Raw genomic sequence first — 15,899 nt, 5'->3', positions numbered from 1 at the left:
CGTGACAAGGTCTTGTCTGACTGTTAGGAAACTAACCTATTTCTTTTGGGCCTTGTTTCAGCTAGCCTACGATAGGAAAACATAACCTGTTTGTTTGTTTGTTTGTTTGTTTGTTTATTTGAGACGGAGTCTCGCTCTGTCGCCCAGTCTGGAGTGCAGTAGCGCGATCTCGACTCTCTGCAAGCTCCGCCTCCTGGGTTCACGCTATTCTCCCACCTCAGCCTCCTGAGTAGCTGGGACTACAGGCGCCCGCCACCATGCCTGGCTAATTTTGTTTTTGTATTTTTAGTAGAGACAGGTTTTCACCGTGTTAGCCAGGATGGTCTCGATCTGCTGACCTCGTGATCCACCCACCTTGGCCTCCCAGCGTGCTGGGATTACAGGCATGAGCCACCGCCCCCAGCCTTCTGTTTAGTTGTTTTATATGGCTCAAACATAGTTCTCTAGTGGTTAGGGACATTTCTTCAGTTTATCTGACATATATAGATATCTTCCAAGTTTATTTAGTGAGACCAATAGGTCATTTATTGTGAGTTTGCAGGTTTACTGCAAGTTCCAAATATGTATTATGACCAGGAAGCAGTCACACTTAAGCTTGAGACAGAAAAACTAAAGATTGGCCGGGCACAGTGGCTCATGCCTGTAATCCCAGCACTTTGGGAAGCTGAGGTGGGCGGATCACGAGGTCAAGAGATCGAGACCATCCTGGCCAACATGGTGAAACCTCGTCTCTACTAAAAACACAAAAATTAGCTGGGCATGGTGGCACATTCCTGTAATCCCAGCTTCTCGGGAGGCTGAGGCAGGAGAATTGCTTGAACCCCGGAGGCAGAAGTTGCAGTGAGCCAAGATCGCGTCACTACACTCCAGCCTGGTGACAGAGCGAGACTCTGTCTAAAAAAAAAAAAAAAAAAAGATTAACAGATTTTCAATTAGCAGAAATTTAGATTAAACTGAGAATGCAATGAAGTCTGTAGTAAAGAGGTAGTATCTTCTCTCATTAATTTCTTAGGCTAATAAAATCACATCATCCAAATGAAATTGCAACATTTTTAGAATTTCTGTAACAAATGATTATTAATTATATTTATTCTCAAAAGTGACTGGCCACCTTAGGCAGAGTTCAAAGAATTTTAGTATCAGTAAACTTGAGAGGCATGGCTCTCTGGAAGAGCCTATATATTATTTGCACATTCTAAAGCGGTGCTTCTGGCCGGGCGCGGTGGCTCACGCCAGTAATCCTAGCACTTTGGGAGGCCAGGGTGGGTGGATCACGAGGTCAGGAGTTCGAGACCAGCCTGGCCAATACGGTGAAACCCTGTCTCTACTAAAAAAATACAAAAATTAGCCGGGTGTGGTGGCATGTGCCTGTGGTCCCAGGTAGTTGGGAGGCTGAGGCAGAAGAATCGCTTGAACCTGGGAGGCGGAGGTTGCAGTGAGCTGAGATTGTGCCATTGCACTCCAGCCTGGACTCTGTCTCAAAAAAAAAAAAAAAAAATTGAAATTAAAATTTAAAAAAAAGCAATGCTTCTTAAAATTTATCTTGGTAAGAGTTATCTAAAGAGCTTATTAAAACAGAGATTGCTGGGCACTCAGAGTGTTCTATACACTAGGTCTGTGGTGGGGCCCATGAATTTGCATTTCTGATAGTTTCCAGGTGATACTAATACCTGGTCCAGCCACCCTCTTTAAGAACCACTGTTGTAGAAAAATAATTAACCTTTTTTTTCAGTTATAATCCCTGCAACTTCACAGTTTCTATAAACTTGTGTTTTTCAGAAAGCTTCTAAAATTTAGCTTCTTTTTAATTTGTGAAATATGTTTAGCTTTTCTCATCTATAAACATTTTCTTAGCACTTTAGGAATTGTCTTTTATCGTAAAATCCAGGTTTGACCTTTTACTAAAGATACAAATTCATGGCTGGGTGGTGGCTTACGCCTGTAATCCCAGCACTTCGGGAGGCCAAGGCGGGCGGATCACGAGGTCAGGAGATGGAGACCATCCTGTGAATGGTGAAACCCCATCTCTACTAAAAATACAAAAAATTAGCCGGGCGCGCTAGTGGGTGCCTGCAGTCCCAGCTACTCGGGAGGCTGAGGCAGGAGAATGACGTGAACCCGGGAGGCGGCGCTAGCAGCAGTGAGCCAAGATCCCGCCGCTGCACTCCAGCCTGGGCGCGACAGAGGGAGACTCCGTCTCAAAAAAAAAAAAAAAAAAAAAAAAAAAAAAGATACAAATTCATTTTAATAAATGTGTGATTATTAGTTGTTACTTTAAATAATATCTAACTTTGCAATTGTCAAGTTGCTTTCACCCACATCAGACTTTTAGTATAGGAAATTATCAACATAACCATGTTACCCATGGAAGTGTTAAATCTTATGCTGGGTAGTGTTTCAGGATGGCCAAAATCCGTCTCCAACTTAATATATTTAAATTAGTTTACATATTTGATTAACTTTACTATCATCATCCTAGTAATCTCTTAGAAAGGCAATTGTCAAATTTCTTTATAGCCAAGTAAGAGTTGAAATAAGTTTTTAAAGTATGGTACAAAGCAAAACTAAGTTACAGTTATTAGAATGAAGAATTCATTTAGAGGCAAAAGATTTTTTAAAACTGCAGAATCCAGTCAGTTCAAAGCCTGATTGAAAGCAACTTCAATTTTATAGATTTCTTGAAACAGATCTTCATTGTTTTCTGGAAAGATAGTATTTGAGAAAAAGAAATGTCTCCAGTTACTGTTTTTATGAGGAGAGAATAGCTTGGTCTTTTTAATGGTTAATGAGAAGAAGTAATAGTTAAACACTTAGAGCATTGATTTCTGATTTGAATTCTCCAACACAGGCCAGCCCTGGGGGAAGGGGGAAGAAAAAAAAAGCTTGCTAATTAACATTTGATTACTGATGCCACCTTCTCATTCCCCTTGCACCATCCGGTTTCAAGCGTTTTTTGTTCAGAAAGGATTTTAAGGAGGGTTTTAACTTGCATCTTAGTAAAACAAATCCATGTGCAACTGCAACGTGTATACAATACTTTTAAAAACAAGAGGAAAAGAAGGCCTTAGGTATGAAGTATGTGTTCAGAACGCATTCTGAATCACTTCTGATTCAGAAGTGACTGCTTTCTTAACTATAAGCCTTTCAGAGTGCCAGTGATTGCTAGGATACTGGAATTAAGCCTAGTTTGTATGCCTTATTTTGATTTAAACACACACACATACAAATACTTATTTGCTCAATGCAGTTATTTAACAAACTCTTAACCAGAACATCTGATAATGCGATGCACTGGGAGCTTAAGTTTGATATATTTAAAATTCGGTCTAAGCTCAGGTTTTCATATGACCAGAGTCCTTTTTCTTCTAAGAATGATAAAAGAATGAGATGGATGGCTGTAGTTTCAGGGTACTTTTTTGTAAGGGCTGTACTATGATGTGCGATAGTATCTTAATTCAGAAAATCTAGAAACTAAAGCACTGATTACTGAACATTTTGTTTTTGTATTTTGCCATATCAAAATGTTTGATATGTGAAGAATCGTGGGCCAGATTTCAAAAAATTTTAAATGTTGAGATAAATTAATAAAACTTGAAAACTATATCACAGTAGCGTTCTGGCAAAATCATATAACCACTTTGATGACATTAGATTGATAGAATAGTTTTCTGGGAAACCAGTGTGACAGGCTTTATTTTTAAATGAGATCTCATAAGGGGAAAATATTAGTGTTTTTTAAAAAGTATAATAAAAGTAAATGCCAAATCTCATGCAAAAAAAAGTACTAAAATGCTTATTATCTTTATTTCTCATGTGAAATTATTTGCCATTTTTCTTTTTGATGTCTGTTATATTTTTTTCTATTGTTTCTCCATTTTGTAGCATTAATAGTTTTAAATTTTCTCTCATTACTTCCTTGTCTTGTATATGTTTAGCACCTCTTTTCCTGTACCTAGGATTAACTCCAGTATTTTCACGAAATAATAACATTTTGGAGCTTTGAAAATCAGAAACGATCATGTTTTATTCTCTTCTAAGGTGGAGTACATGAGGTCTCAGAATGGCTCCACCAATTTTCCCACAGTAACAGTTGAGCAGAACTAGGATTAGAAATCTAGTTCTCTGGCTGGGTAAGGTAGCTCGCCTGTAATTCCAGCACTTTGGGAGGCTAAGGTGGGCAGATCACAAGGTCAGGAGCTCGAGACTAGCCTGGCCAACATGGTGAAACCCCGTCTCTACTAAAAATACAAAAATTAGCCAGGTGTGGTGGCACACTCCTGTAATCCCAGCTACTCAGGAGGCTGAGGCAGGAGAATCGCTTGAATCCAGGAGGTGGAGGTTGCAGTAAGCCGAGAACCTACTGCACTCTGGCCTGGGCGACAGAGCAAGACTGTCTTGGGAAAAAAAAAAAAAGAAAGAAATCTAGTTCTCTGCCTCGAGGTATGCCGCAACACCTTAAACTTTGTGACTTTTTTATTAGTTTGCTTTCACGAGAATAATACCTGAATGACATTTAAAATTCCCTAAAAGTTTTTCAATAGTTTGATAGATATTTAGCTCACAAGGAATGGTTTTATTATAACTGAGAATGTTATCTACTGAATTTTATATTTTTCAATATAAAAATAGTTTAGAACAACTCATTTGAGGCTAATCTGAGCTTCATGGTTTAGCCTTTAGCAGAGCAACTTTTCCTAAGAATTACTTTCCTAAGAAATTCTGATGAAATTTAACTAAAAAATAAAACTGTTTGAAAATTTAAATGAATCAAAAGAAAAGTTTGTGGGAGATGAATATGTTATGAAGGTACTTTTATAATTTTATATTGAGTAGCTTATAATGAAATGATCTTTCCCCCAGTGCTGTGTTTAGCGTTGAAATTCCCACAGACATTGAGGAAGTATGAAGTTTGAAGTAGAGATTATTACTTAGTTTTTCACATTAATTATAGTATATAAACAGGTGTTTATTAGCAATGACAAATAAGGAAACAAATCAGTACCATATTAATTCTATACTATTAAAAATTAACCTGATTTATATATTTTCTCAGTTGCAAACGATTGTCTTATCTGAAACGATATGGAAGAAATTAAACTATACCTTTAGAAAATCTTGAATGCAAATTAGAAAATCTGTTGTCAATCTAGAACTCTAGATCCAAATACAGTATAGTTTGTAATGTAAGTTTAATGTTCAGCTGGTAATCAAAGCATTTATTAAATTCCTCCTGAACTAATTGAAACATTTGCATGTAAAACAAGAATTGAAAAGATCATGAAGGTTCAGCATGATCTTGAGCCAATGCTGATCAAAAAAAAAATGTGTAAGACAAAAAGGCCCTTAGGAAATGTTACCCTGTGAAGTGCCACTTGTCCTTAACTGGAATTTAACATACTCTAAAGATGAAACTCCGTCAGAAGCAACACAATATTGGCAGCTGGGCATGCCAGCCACTGCACCCCAGCCTGTGCGTGTGTTCTTTTTACTTCTCTAAAGTGCTCTCAAGTCCCAAATCAATCAGTGTCCTTCCCCCTCTCTTTCTCACTTCCCTCTCTTCTTTCTTTCCCTATCATCTATTTCTCCCTATCTCTTTACCCTCCATCTTCCTCTCTTCTCTTTCCTCCTTTTCCCTTTTCCCCTTCTTCTCCCTTTCCCTTCCCCCTCCCTCTTTCTTCCTCATATTTCTTCATCTTCCCTCCTTCTCTGAAAGAACTGTGTCCTTCATCTGATCCATGATGACTTTAAATTCATCTGTATCATTTTATACAAAGCTGTATTTTATCATTGAGGTTTCCTAGAATACTAACTTTTTTCAGAATCGTTTTTATGTTTTGTGTACATTTTGGATTTTTTTCTTCCCTGCAGGATTATGATTTCAATTTTTTATTAAATATAACCATCAATAAAGAAAATGGAATTGTAATCTATTAGTAAAATCCCCACTCTTTTGATGCTTTTGCTATCTTATCACTTGTGCTTCATCCATATACTGGTAACATCTACGTATGGTAACAGCATTGGTATGCATGGAATTATTTTTGAAAAACACTAAATTGTTGTTTAGTGATTGTGGTTCAACATAAGATTCTTTTAGTTTAAACTCAGAATACTCTGTGAATTTAGCCTTTGCATTGGAACAATCAAACATTAGCCTAATATGCTTTACATGGGACTCTCTCAGCCAAGTTCTGTCTGCATTAGCCAGTTTATTCTATGACAAGTTGCTTAACAGATGTCATTCTGGGGAGAACAATGAAGCCAAATACTTGTGCAATGGCTAACATTACTCTGACTTTGATCACTTTTGTTCAGCACATCAGTCTGGCGTTGTGCTTAATACCAACATAACACTATAGCCAGGACATGCTTTTCAGGCTTAGAATAGCAAAGGAATGTTATTCAATTCAGTGCAGTTACAGATGAGTTAATGAAAAAAGAAAATACTGTTTATTTCATAATACTTTATTGTTGTATTTTGGAATTAAGGTGGAATTCAAAGAATCCCACTCCAAAGTTATTTGTTTGTATACTTATAGTATTTGTGTGTACTTTACAATGCTAGGGTAGCTTTGCGGCCTTTCCAAAAGGATGTAAATATTTGTCCTGCTTTTTTTCAAAAATAGCTGATAAGGTTGGTTATATCTAGATAACATAATGAAAAATAATTTCAAGAAATTATTTCAAAGTAATAATTTCTTAATTATTTTAAGAAATAGTTTTAAGAAATTATTTTGTCTTGAAGCCTAAAGACTCCTCATACTCCCTCTTCTATCCTTCATCTTTTATTAACGTAACACTCTCGGTTTGTGGAACACCTTTCTCGTTAAGAACACTAATGTTTAAAAATGACAAAATAATAACAGCTAGTGAAAGTGGTTAGAGGTTAACCCAATTGCATTTGGTTAAATTGTTGGGTTGATAATGACTGATAAAAATTTCCAAATGATGTGACTGACTATAAACAAAATATTGCATGGTAGACTAGCCATTTGCTAAGAACCTCTAAAGAAAACCTGTTTGTTTGAATTGAGTACAGATCAAGCCATTCCCCAAGCTCCTCAGATCTCATTTACTAAGTCATTTTTCCACAGGTGTGAATTAGAGATAAAAATAGAGTGAGTTCTGTGTTTTTGTTTTATTTTTTGTTTCTCCTTTCCGTAGTGAACTAGTATCTCTATTTCACTGGAATGGTAACTTAGATGTGATTATGTATAAGAAAGGGTAATGTGAAAACAAAATGCTATAATTGGACAACATGATACTTTAGGCTTCTGCATTTTTAAAACATAAATGCATGATGCTTGTTGAAGTATGAAGAACCCTATTGAAGTTTTTGGGTTTTGTTTTGTTTTTTGAGACAGGGTCTCACTGTGTCACCCAGAGTTCAGTGGCACAGTCGTGGCTCATTGCTGCCTCTATCTGCTGGGCTCAACTGATCTTCCCAGCTTGGCCTCCCAAAGGGTTGGGATTACAGGCATGAGACACCATGCCTGGCCTCAAGTCTTAACATAGAACATATGATGGGGAGCATTTCAATCCTAACTTCATTTGATACAGTAGGATAATAATGCCATAATTAACTTGAAGAATTAATTAAAATGGATAATCTCTCCATTATTATGATTCGTTATTTGTGAATAAAAACTAAAATAGAAAAAAAAAACCCTGAAGAGAGACATACTGCTTTTTTCTTTTTTTTGAGACAGGGTCTCACTCTGTCTGCCAGGTGGGAGTGCGGTGGCATGATCATGGCTCACTGTATCCTCAACTTCCTGGACTCAAACAATCCTCCCACCTCAGCTTCCTGTGTAGTGGGGACTACAGGCATGAGCCACCATGCCTAGCTAATTTTGTTATTTTTTGGTAGAAATGTGGTCTCACTATGTTGCCCAGGCTCATCTTGAACTCCTGAGCTCAAGTGATCCTTGTACCTTGACCTCCTAAAATTCTGGGATTACAGATGTGAACCACCACGCCCAGTAACACTTCTTTTATTTTATTTTATTTTTATTTTTATTATTTTCTTTTGAGACAGAGTCTCGCACTGATGCCCAGGCTGGAGCGCAGTGGCACGATCTCAGCTCACTGCAGCCTCTGCCTCCTGGGTTTAAGCCATTCTCCTGCCTCAGCTTCCCGAGTAGCTGGGATTACAAGCACACACCACCACACCTGGCTAATTTTTGTATTTTTCATAGAGACAAGGTTTTGCCATGTTGGCCAGGCTGGTCTTGAACACCTGACCTCAAGTGATCTGCCCACCTCGGCCTCCCAAAGTGCTAGGATTACAGGCGTGAGCCACCATGCCTAGCCAACACTTCTTAATTACTGGCTGACGTAGAGTTTAACCTTCCAACACTTTATTCTGATAAGTTTACCTCCTTTCCTTTCAAAGTAAAAGGTATAATGTTGCATGTTGGGAAAAATAGTTTCTCATCTTTAATGCATTTTTTGTATTTAATTTTCAGGAAGGGCCTATAGCTCTGATATTAGTAAATATTACATGAAATAGTTTTTAATTTGGATTGATTTCAAAAAAATAACGTGTGCTACTTTTTTTTTTTTTTTTGGTCGGTGGTAGGGAGATGGAGTCTCACTCTGTTGCCCAGGCTGGAGTGCAGTGGCATGATCTCAGCTCACCGCCACCTCCGCTTCCCGGATGCAAACGATTCTCCTGCCTCAGCCTCCCAAGTAGCTGGGATTATAGGCACCGCCACCACGCCTGGCTAATTTTTTGTATTTTTAGTAAAGATGGGGTTTCACCATGTTGGCCAGACTGGTCTCGAACTCCTGACCTCAGGTGATCCACCTGCCTTGGCCTCCCAACGTCCTGGGATTACAGGTGTGAGCCACCGTCCCCGGCCCTGTGCTACTTTAATAATAAGTTTCTGTATCTTTGAAACTTACATAAAAAATATGAAGACAATTTTAGGTTTTTCCTCCCCTGCCCCCCTTGCCCTTCAATAAAACCCCACTACCCTTCACTATTCCACATAGAAACTTGAAATATATGTTTTTGGTTTTGAATCATTGTGCATTTTTACGATTAAATAAATTATAAAAATGTATAATCGTACTTTGCCCTTAGTGAACTGGGTGCCTGAAGTTTCTTGACTGAAAAGAAATGAAGTCAGCCAGGAGTTGAAAACAAGAGAGGGAGGATATTTCTTAACTCTTATTTCATCTAGTCTTCATTGAGAATCTGCTTTTAAATTTGATTTTGTTCTTTTTTACAAAATTTTTTGACTTGGGTTTTTATAGTTTCAAATTCTTGTTTTGAATCTAGAAGAAAACAAGAAATACACTGTATGTCTCATAAATTGATTGGAAACTGTAAGTCATGTGAAAATTCTATTTTAATTGTCCTGTTTCTTTCTTTTCATAGGTAAAGAGAAATGTGTATGACCTTACAAGTATCCCCGTTCGCCACCAATTATGGGAGGGCTGGCCAACTTCTGCTACAGACGACTCAGTAAGTGACAGTCAAATTTTCAGTTTTATATCCTCCTTTCTCTTTTGCCACTTTCAGTCTAATTGGCTTTGATAATAAGCACAATTAAATGCTTTGAGTCTTCCATTGAAAGAATTATCTAGCCAGGCACGGTGGCTCATGCCTGTAATCCCAGCACTTTGGGAGGCTGAGGCGTGTGGATCACCTGAGGTCAGGAGTTTGAGACCAACCTGGCCAACATGGTGAAACCCCATCTCTACTGAAAACACAAAAATTAGCTGGGCATGGTGGCGGCCGCCTCTAATCCCACTACTCAGGAGGTTGAGATAAGAGAATCACTTGGCGGCCGCCTCTAATCCCACTACTCAGGAGGTTGAGATAAGAGAATCACTTGAACCTGGGAGGTGAAGGTTGCAGTGAGCCGAGATTGCGCCATTGCACTCCAGCCTGGGCGACAAAAGCGAAACTCCATCTCAAAAAAAAAAAAAAAAGAAATATCTAAAACCAAGCAATGTGAAAGTAAGAGAAGTTGTAATAATTTGAGTTCACTTTTAGAACAGATATCACAAGCCAAGCAGGTCAACATTCTGTTGGTAATGTTACAGTATCAATGCAAAAATTTGATGCTGCTGGATTTGACTTTGACTTAGTTTTTTTCTTGATGAGAAGAATATATTCAGATACTACTAATGAAATGTTCAAGGCAAAAACATTTTCTTTCCTAAATTACAGATATTTCAAAATCAAGCTAATCATTATATTTAATTTTAAAACTACCTTTTTCATAGTAGACTGATACTTAAAAGTTAATTTTTATAGTTAATAACACTTTAATCTCAAACATACCCATAAATTTTGCTACCATAAGAAGCTGGAAGAAAATGTCTGTCATTTTTACCCTTATTATATATTTTATAATGATTTCCTTATTGTAAATGTTTGAAGCCTTTCCTATCTCTGTCATTTCCACTCATTGCTGTTTTCTATGAGAGTAAATTTCATTATATAAGGAGGCCATCTGAAATTCAGTTTTGGCCACTTTTCCCCATAAACTTGCTTATTCTAACCAGATACCTAAGTTTTTTTAAAAAGTAAAAGTAAAAATGAGAATGTTTCTGGAAATCTCAAGTTACATCTAATTTTTAAAATAAATAGGGCTAAAAAGAAATTGGGACTTTGTAAACATCTTGTAATGATCAATACTGAAATAATGATTATGCCTAGGAATTGAATTATCTTTTAACATTTTCTAGTAAATATTATGTTTCTGCCTGGATAATAACTACAGTTCACTCCTCTTCCAGCATCACCACTATATATTTTAATATAAAAGAATTCTTTGTGGAAGACAGAAAAGTTTTAAGACAATTTATGTAGATGCTACTTGAATCTAATTACAATGTAAACAGTATGCCTTTGGAACATGCTTTGTGGATTATGAAATTTTAAAAATCAGAAACTTTAATAATCAGAAAATAGCAAAACCTTTATTTTTGGTCAGGCACGGTGACTCACACCTGTAATCCCAGCACTTTGGGAGGCCGAAGCCGGTGGATTACCTGAGGTCAGGAGTTTGTTTATTTATTTATTTTTGACTTGGAATCTTGCTCTATCGCCCAGTCTGGAGTACAATGACACAATCTTGGCTCATTGCAACCTCCACCTCCTGGGTTCAAGCGATTGATTCTCCTGCCTCAGCCTCCCAAGTAGCTGGGATTATAGGCGCCTGCCGCCACACCCGGGTAATTTTTGTATGTTTAATAAGGACGAAGTTTCACCAAGTAGGCCAGGCTGGTCTTGAACTCCTGACCTAAGGTGACCAGCCTGCCTCGGCCTCCCAAAGTGCTGAGATTACAGGCATGAGCCACCGTGCCTGGCCGAGGTCAGGAGTTTGAAACCAGCCTGGCCAACATGGTGAAACCCTGTCTCTACCAAAAATACAAAATTAGCCGGGCGTGGTGGCTTGTGACTTTAATCCCAGCTACTTGGGGGGCTAAAGCAGGAGGATCACTTGAACCTGGGAGGGGGAGGTTGCAGTGAGCCAAGATTGTGCCATTGCACTCCACTGGGCAATAAGAGCAAAACTCCATCTGAAAAACAAAAACAAAAGCCCCTTTATTTTTAATAAACACTTCCAGAAAAAAAAATCTTTAGGTTTAGGTGCTTAAATTTGTTTCTGAAAAACTGATTTTAGCATTGATGTTATAGTATATAATTAGAATTATTGGCTGGTCATCTATGGCTAAGGATAGGGATGTGTTTGTGGTTTTCTTGTGGTTTTTTTTTTGTTGTTTTTCTTGCTTGAGTGAGAAATTTGATAGAAAATGTGCTACCTTTATTTTTACAAAAATAAAAGAATAATGTTCATACATGATGGTCTACTGTTTACCTGAGGAGGCATGAAGAAAACAGAAATGTTCTCAGTATTGTCTAAGAACTTGTTACAAGAAATAGTAATATTAATAGAAGAAGATAATTAAGACCTGAGCATATCATTAAATTCTCTGAGCTTTAATTTTGTCACTAATTTGCAGAACTATTATGAAGATAAGTGATAATATAAATACAGTACCTGGCTCATAGTAGACACTCAGTAAATGAGTCGACATTATAATTAAGATAACTGCAAAAAAAGTTATTGTAATTACAGATTACAATTACAGGCAAGAATTGGCTGGTTTAAAGAAATGAAGTGATGTCTGAGACTTGCTTCAGAATAACCTATGTGTGGCAGAGTGAGTGAGGATAGAGCTAATTTAGATTAGGCATCTATCAATCATTGTTGAATCTAGGTGATACATATATTGGGTTTATTATACTGTTCTCTCAACTTTTGTATATATTTGAAAATTTTCATAATAAAAAGTTTAAAGCAAAAATAGTTGTCTTGTTTAAGAGCAGGGACATAAGATAATAGAGAAACTCTGGAAATGTGGGGCTTCACAGGGTTGGAAAAGCCAACTGCTTTTGCACCCCACCCTTGTAGAAACCAGACTGAAATTGGCTTATCAGGTACAAGTTCCAAGAATGATAGGCAAAGTCGATGAAATATGATCAATTCTTCTGCCTGTAAAATAGTGCCTTATACATTTTAGGTGCTAATTCATTGAATTGAGTTGGCATGGTCTTTTATGAGACCCATGTTTTAATGGTTTTTATAACATTTAATTTTTTGCCAAAGAGTTGTCATGCAGTCTAATTACTATAGGAAAATATGGAAAGCAGCTAAAACTGTTTGTTTCCAAGACTGTAATACTACTTGGTGCTCTTAAGTCACAGCAAACACAAGAGGGAATCCCTATTAAGAGGCTTGATTCTTTTAGCCTCATTATTGCCATTTGCACCTTGTCCCAGAACCTGTGAAGTGGTGCCTGCCCACACCTCCCCAGAGCAAATGTTGCGGCATTGGCAGGGTGTTGCCTTGAGCTTGCATGATTTGATACAACAAAGATGTTTAGGGCCAGGCTGCTTTTAACTGATGCCACAGCAGATTCACTAGCTCCAGTGCTTGAATTTAGCCAAAAATGGCTTATAACTAGTATTCTGAGGAGATCCTGGCCAAATAATATGTCGTAAAACCTTTTTCATTAGGAGTATAAAAACTCATAAAACTGGTACTTGTAGTCTATATTTGTTGCAGGCGGTGGTGTTTTTATACTTACTGAAATCATTCAAGTGGAGGCATCTGCTACAAAACAAAATAGTCCTCACAGCTTAGGGCATGAATTGGGTACAGCTGAGAAATGTCAGCTGTGTAAACAGCCTGAAATGTGTTACCAACAAAAATATAATTAATTTCTTTCCAAGACAGTGTGCCATAACTTAATACTTAGAATGGTTTAACTTTCAGAGAAAGCACCTGAACATTTGCTTCCTAGTGCCAGAGTAGAGGATTGGTTATAAAGGTCATTAAAAGTGAGGTCATTTTGTACTTTTATTGCTCAGTTGAAGAAATTTGTGTGGCTTTAAATATACAGTAGCCTTAGATATCATTGGATTCTGTGAATTTATGAAAATACCATAGATCAAGAAATTAATGGATTTGGGGTGATGAAAATGTTCTAAAAATTAGATTGTGGTAAAGGTTGCACATCTCTAAAGTTTTAAAAAATAATTGAACATTTAAAATGAGTGAATTTTATGGCATATAAATTATGCCTCAGTGAAGCTATTTTTTTAAAAAAGAAGTTAATTAACTAGATTAAAATACTTTTTCACTTACATTTTTATCCTGCATGAGAAATACTTTGCAGTAACACAAGAGATGTTTTGTTCAGTATACTTCTCATTAACCTTTGACTCACCCAACAGGAGAAAGAAATAGACCTCTTGTAATCAATTCTTTTATAATCTTGAGTCTCTTATGAACCTAATAGACTTCAGTCTTGGGCATTTTCAGGTTACTCAGTGAAGTCAACACTCATTTACAACATTGTTGCCCATCTCCCTTCAGAGTTAACGTATTTTCTTTGCTTGTGGTTGTACTCGAATAGGGTGTGGGATACTGTATGAATTGTCAGTAACTCCGTTCCTTTTGTACTCTTTGATCAGGGAAATAGGTATCTAAAGCTTTACCAGTAGGAAAATGTTTTCATGCTGTGACAGTTCAGCTGTGAGAACAAGGAGTTACAAGTAGGCAAAATCTCATTTTACACTTTAACAAGGAAGCTCTTGGTTTCTAGATAGGAGAAATAATTTTAACACTGTGAATTATGTTTAGATACCTTATTACAATGCAGACAATATGAATACATGTAGTTCTTTTTAAATTCCTGGATTTAATAATGCTTATACAAAGAAAACTCTTTCAGTTTTTTGTTTTTATTTTTATTTATATATTTTTTTGAGACAGTCTTGCTCTGTCACCCAGGGTGGAGTGCGGTGGTGAGATCTCAGCTGACTGCAACCTCTGCCTCCCAGGTTCAAGTGATTCTTATGCCTCAGCATCCCAAGTAGCTGGGATTACAGGCGTATACCACCATGCCCAGCTCATTTTTGTATTTTTAGTAGAGACAGGGTTTCGCTGTGTTGGCCAGGCTGGTCTTGAACTTTTGGCCTCGAACTCTTGGCCTCAAGTGATCCTCACCTCGGCCTCCCAAAGTGCTGGGATTACAAGCCTAAGCCACTGTGCCCGGCCAACTCTTTCAGTTTTATTACTTTTTTTTTTTTTTTTTTTTTGAGACAGAGTTTCGCTCTTGTTGCACAGGCTGGAGTGCAATGGTGTGATCCCGGCTCACCGCAGCCTCTGCTTTCCGGATTCAAACGATTCTCCTGCCTCAGCCTCCCGAGTAGCTGGGATTACAGGCATGCACCACCACGCCCGGCTAATTTTGTATTTTTAGTAGACATGGGGTTTCTCCATGTTAGTCAGGCTGGTCTCGAACTCCCGACCTCAGGTGATCCGCCCACCTCGGCCTCCCAGAGTGCTGGGATTACAGGCATGAGCCACCGTGCCCAGCTTAATACTTTATTATTGTGCTTTCTCTCTCTCTCTCTTTGACGGAGTCTTACTCTGTCACCCCCAGGCTAGAATGCAATGGCATGGTCTTGGCTCACTGCAACCTCCACCTCCCAGGTTCAAGCAATTGTCCCTCCTCAGCCTCCCGAGTAGCTAGGACTACAGGCACGTGCCATCATACCCAGCTAATTTTTTTCTTTTTCTTTTTTTTTTTTTTTTGTAGTTTTAGTAGAGACGCGGTTTCATAAGTTGGCCAGGCTGGTCTTGAACTCCTGACCTTGTGATCCACCTGCCTCGGCCTGTCAAAGTGCTGGGATTACAGGCATGAGGCACTGTGCCCAGACTTTTCTTTCTTGATTACTAATGCTCTTCTGTATTTCTGTCATTGGCCACAAAATATTCACTCAGAATTGAGAAACTAGGAATTTTAGAATCAAAGCTCTTTGGGCGTGTGTTAGGATTCAGAAAGCTACTTATTAAATATTTTCACATTGAGAATGTGAAATAATTTACAAGTAAAACCATTACACAGTGGCTTTTATATAAAATAAAAAGAGCCAGGCACAATGGCTCACACCTGTAATCCAGCACTTTGGGAGGCCAAGATGGGTGGATCACCTGAGGTCAGGAGTTCAAGACCATCCTGACCAACATGGAGAAACCCCATCTCTACTGAAAATACAAAATTAGCCAGGTGTGTGGCGCATGCCTGTAATCCCAGCTACTTGTGAGGCTGAGGCAAGAGAATTGCTTGAACCCGGAAGGCGGAGGTTGCAGTGAGAGATTGCGCCATTGCACTCCAGCCTGGGCAACAAGAGCAAAACTCTGTCTAAAAAAAAAAAAATTAAAATGAATAAATACATAAAATGAAAACTGCACACAGCCCTCTCCCCACCCCACTCTTAAATAGAAATGAATCTGAAGGCTGGACACGGTGGCTCACACCTGTAATCCCAGCACTTTGGGAGGCCAAGGCAGACGGATCACGAG

The 15,899-nt window shown here is 38.1% G+C and overlaps 1 protein-coding gene across 5 annotated transcripts in view, besides 1 other annotated feature; it reads left to right on the top strand.

The window, feature by feature from the left end:
• FAF1 (Fas associated factor 1) overlaps positions 1-15,899 on the top strand; it is a 523,240-nt gene that overhangs the window by 295,354 nt on the left and 211,987 nt on the right. For all 5 annotated transcript variants that reach the window (NM_007051.3, XM_047442745.1, XM_047442743.1 and 2 more), the window contains one exon: positions 9,386-9,472. In NM_007051.3, the coding sequence (NP_008982.1) occupies positions 9,386-9,472 (87 nt within the window). The remainder of the gene's footprint in view (positions 1-9,385; positions 9,473-15,899) is intronic.
• Positions 6,028-6,545: an enhancer, noted in NCBI's record as "NANOG hESC enhancer chr1:51124041-51124558 (GRCh37/hg19 assembly coordinates)". NCBI's record gives its function as "activates a minimal SCP1, AML or CMV promoter by ChIP-STARR-seq in naive H9 embryonic stem cells {active_cell/tissue: H9 hESC(naive)}" and the evidence as "EXISTENCE:reporter gene assay evidence [ECO:0000049][PMID:30033119]".

This window comes from Homo sapiens, chromosome 1, assembly GCF_000001405.40.
Source record: "Homo sapiens chromosome 1, GRCh38.p14 Primary Assembly".
NCBI classification, from domain to species: Eukaryota; Metazoa; Chordata; class Mammalia; order Primates; family Hominidae; genus Homo; species Homo sapiens.
The sequence above is the reverse complement of the archived record's forward strand: the minus strand, read 5'-3'. Positions and strand labels throughout refer to the sequence as shown.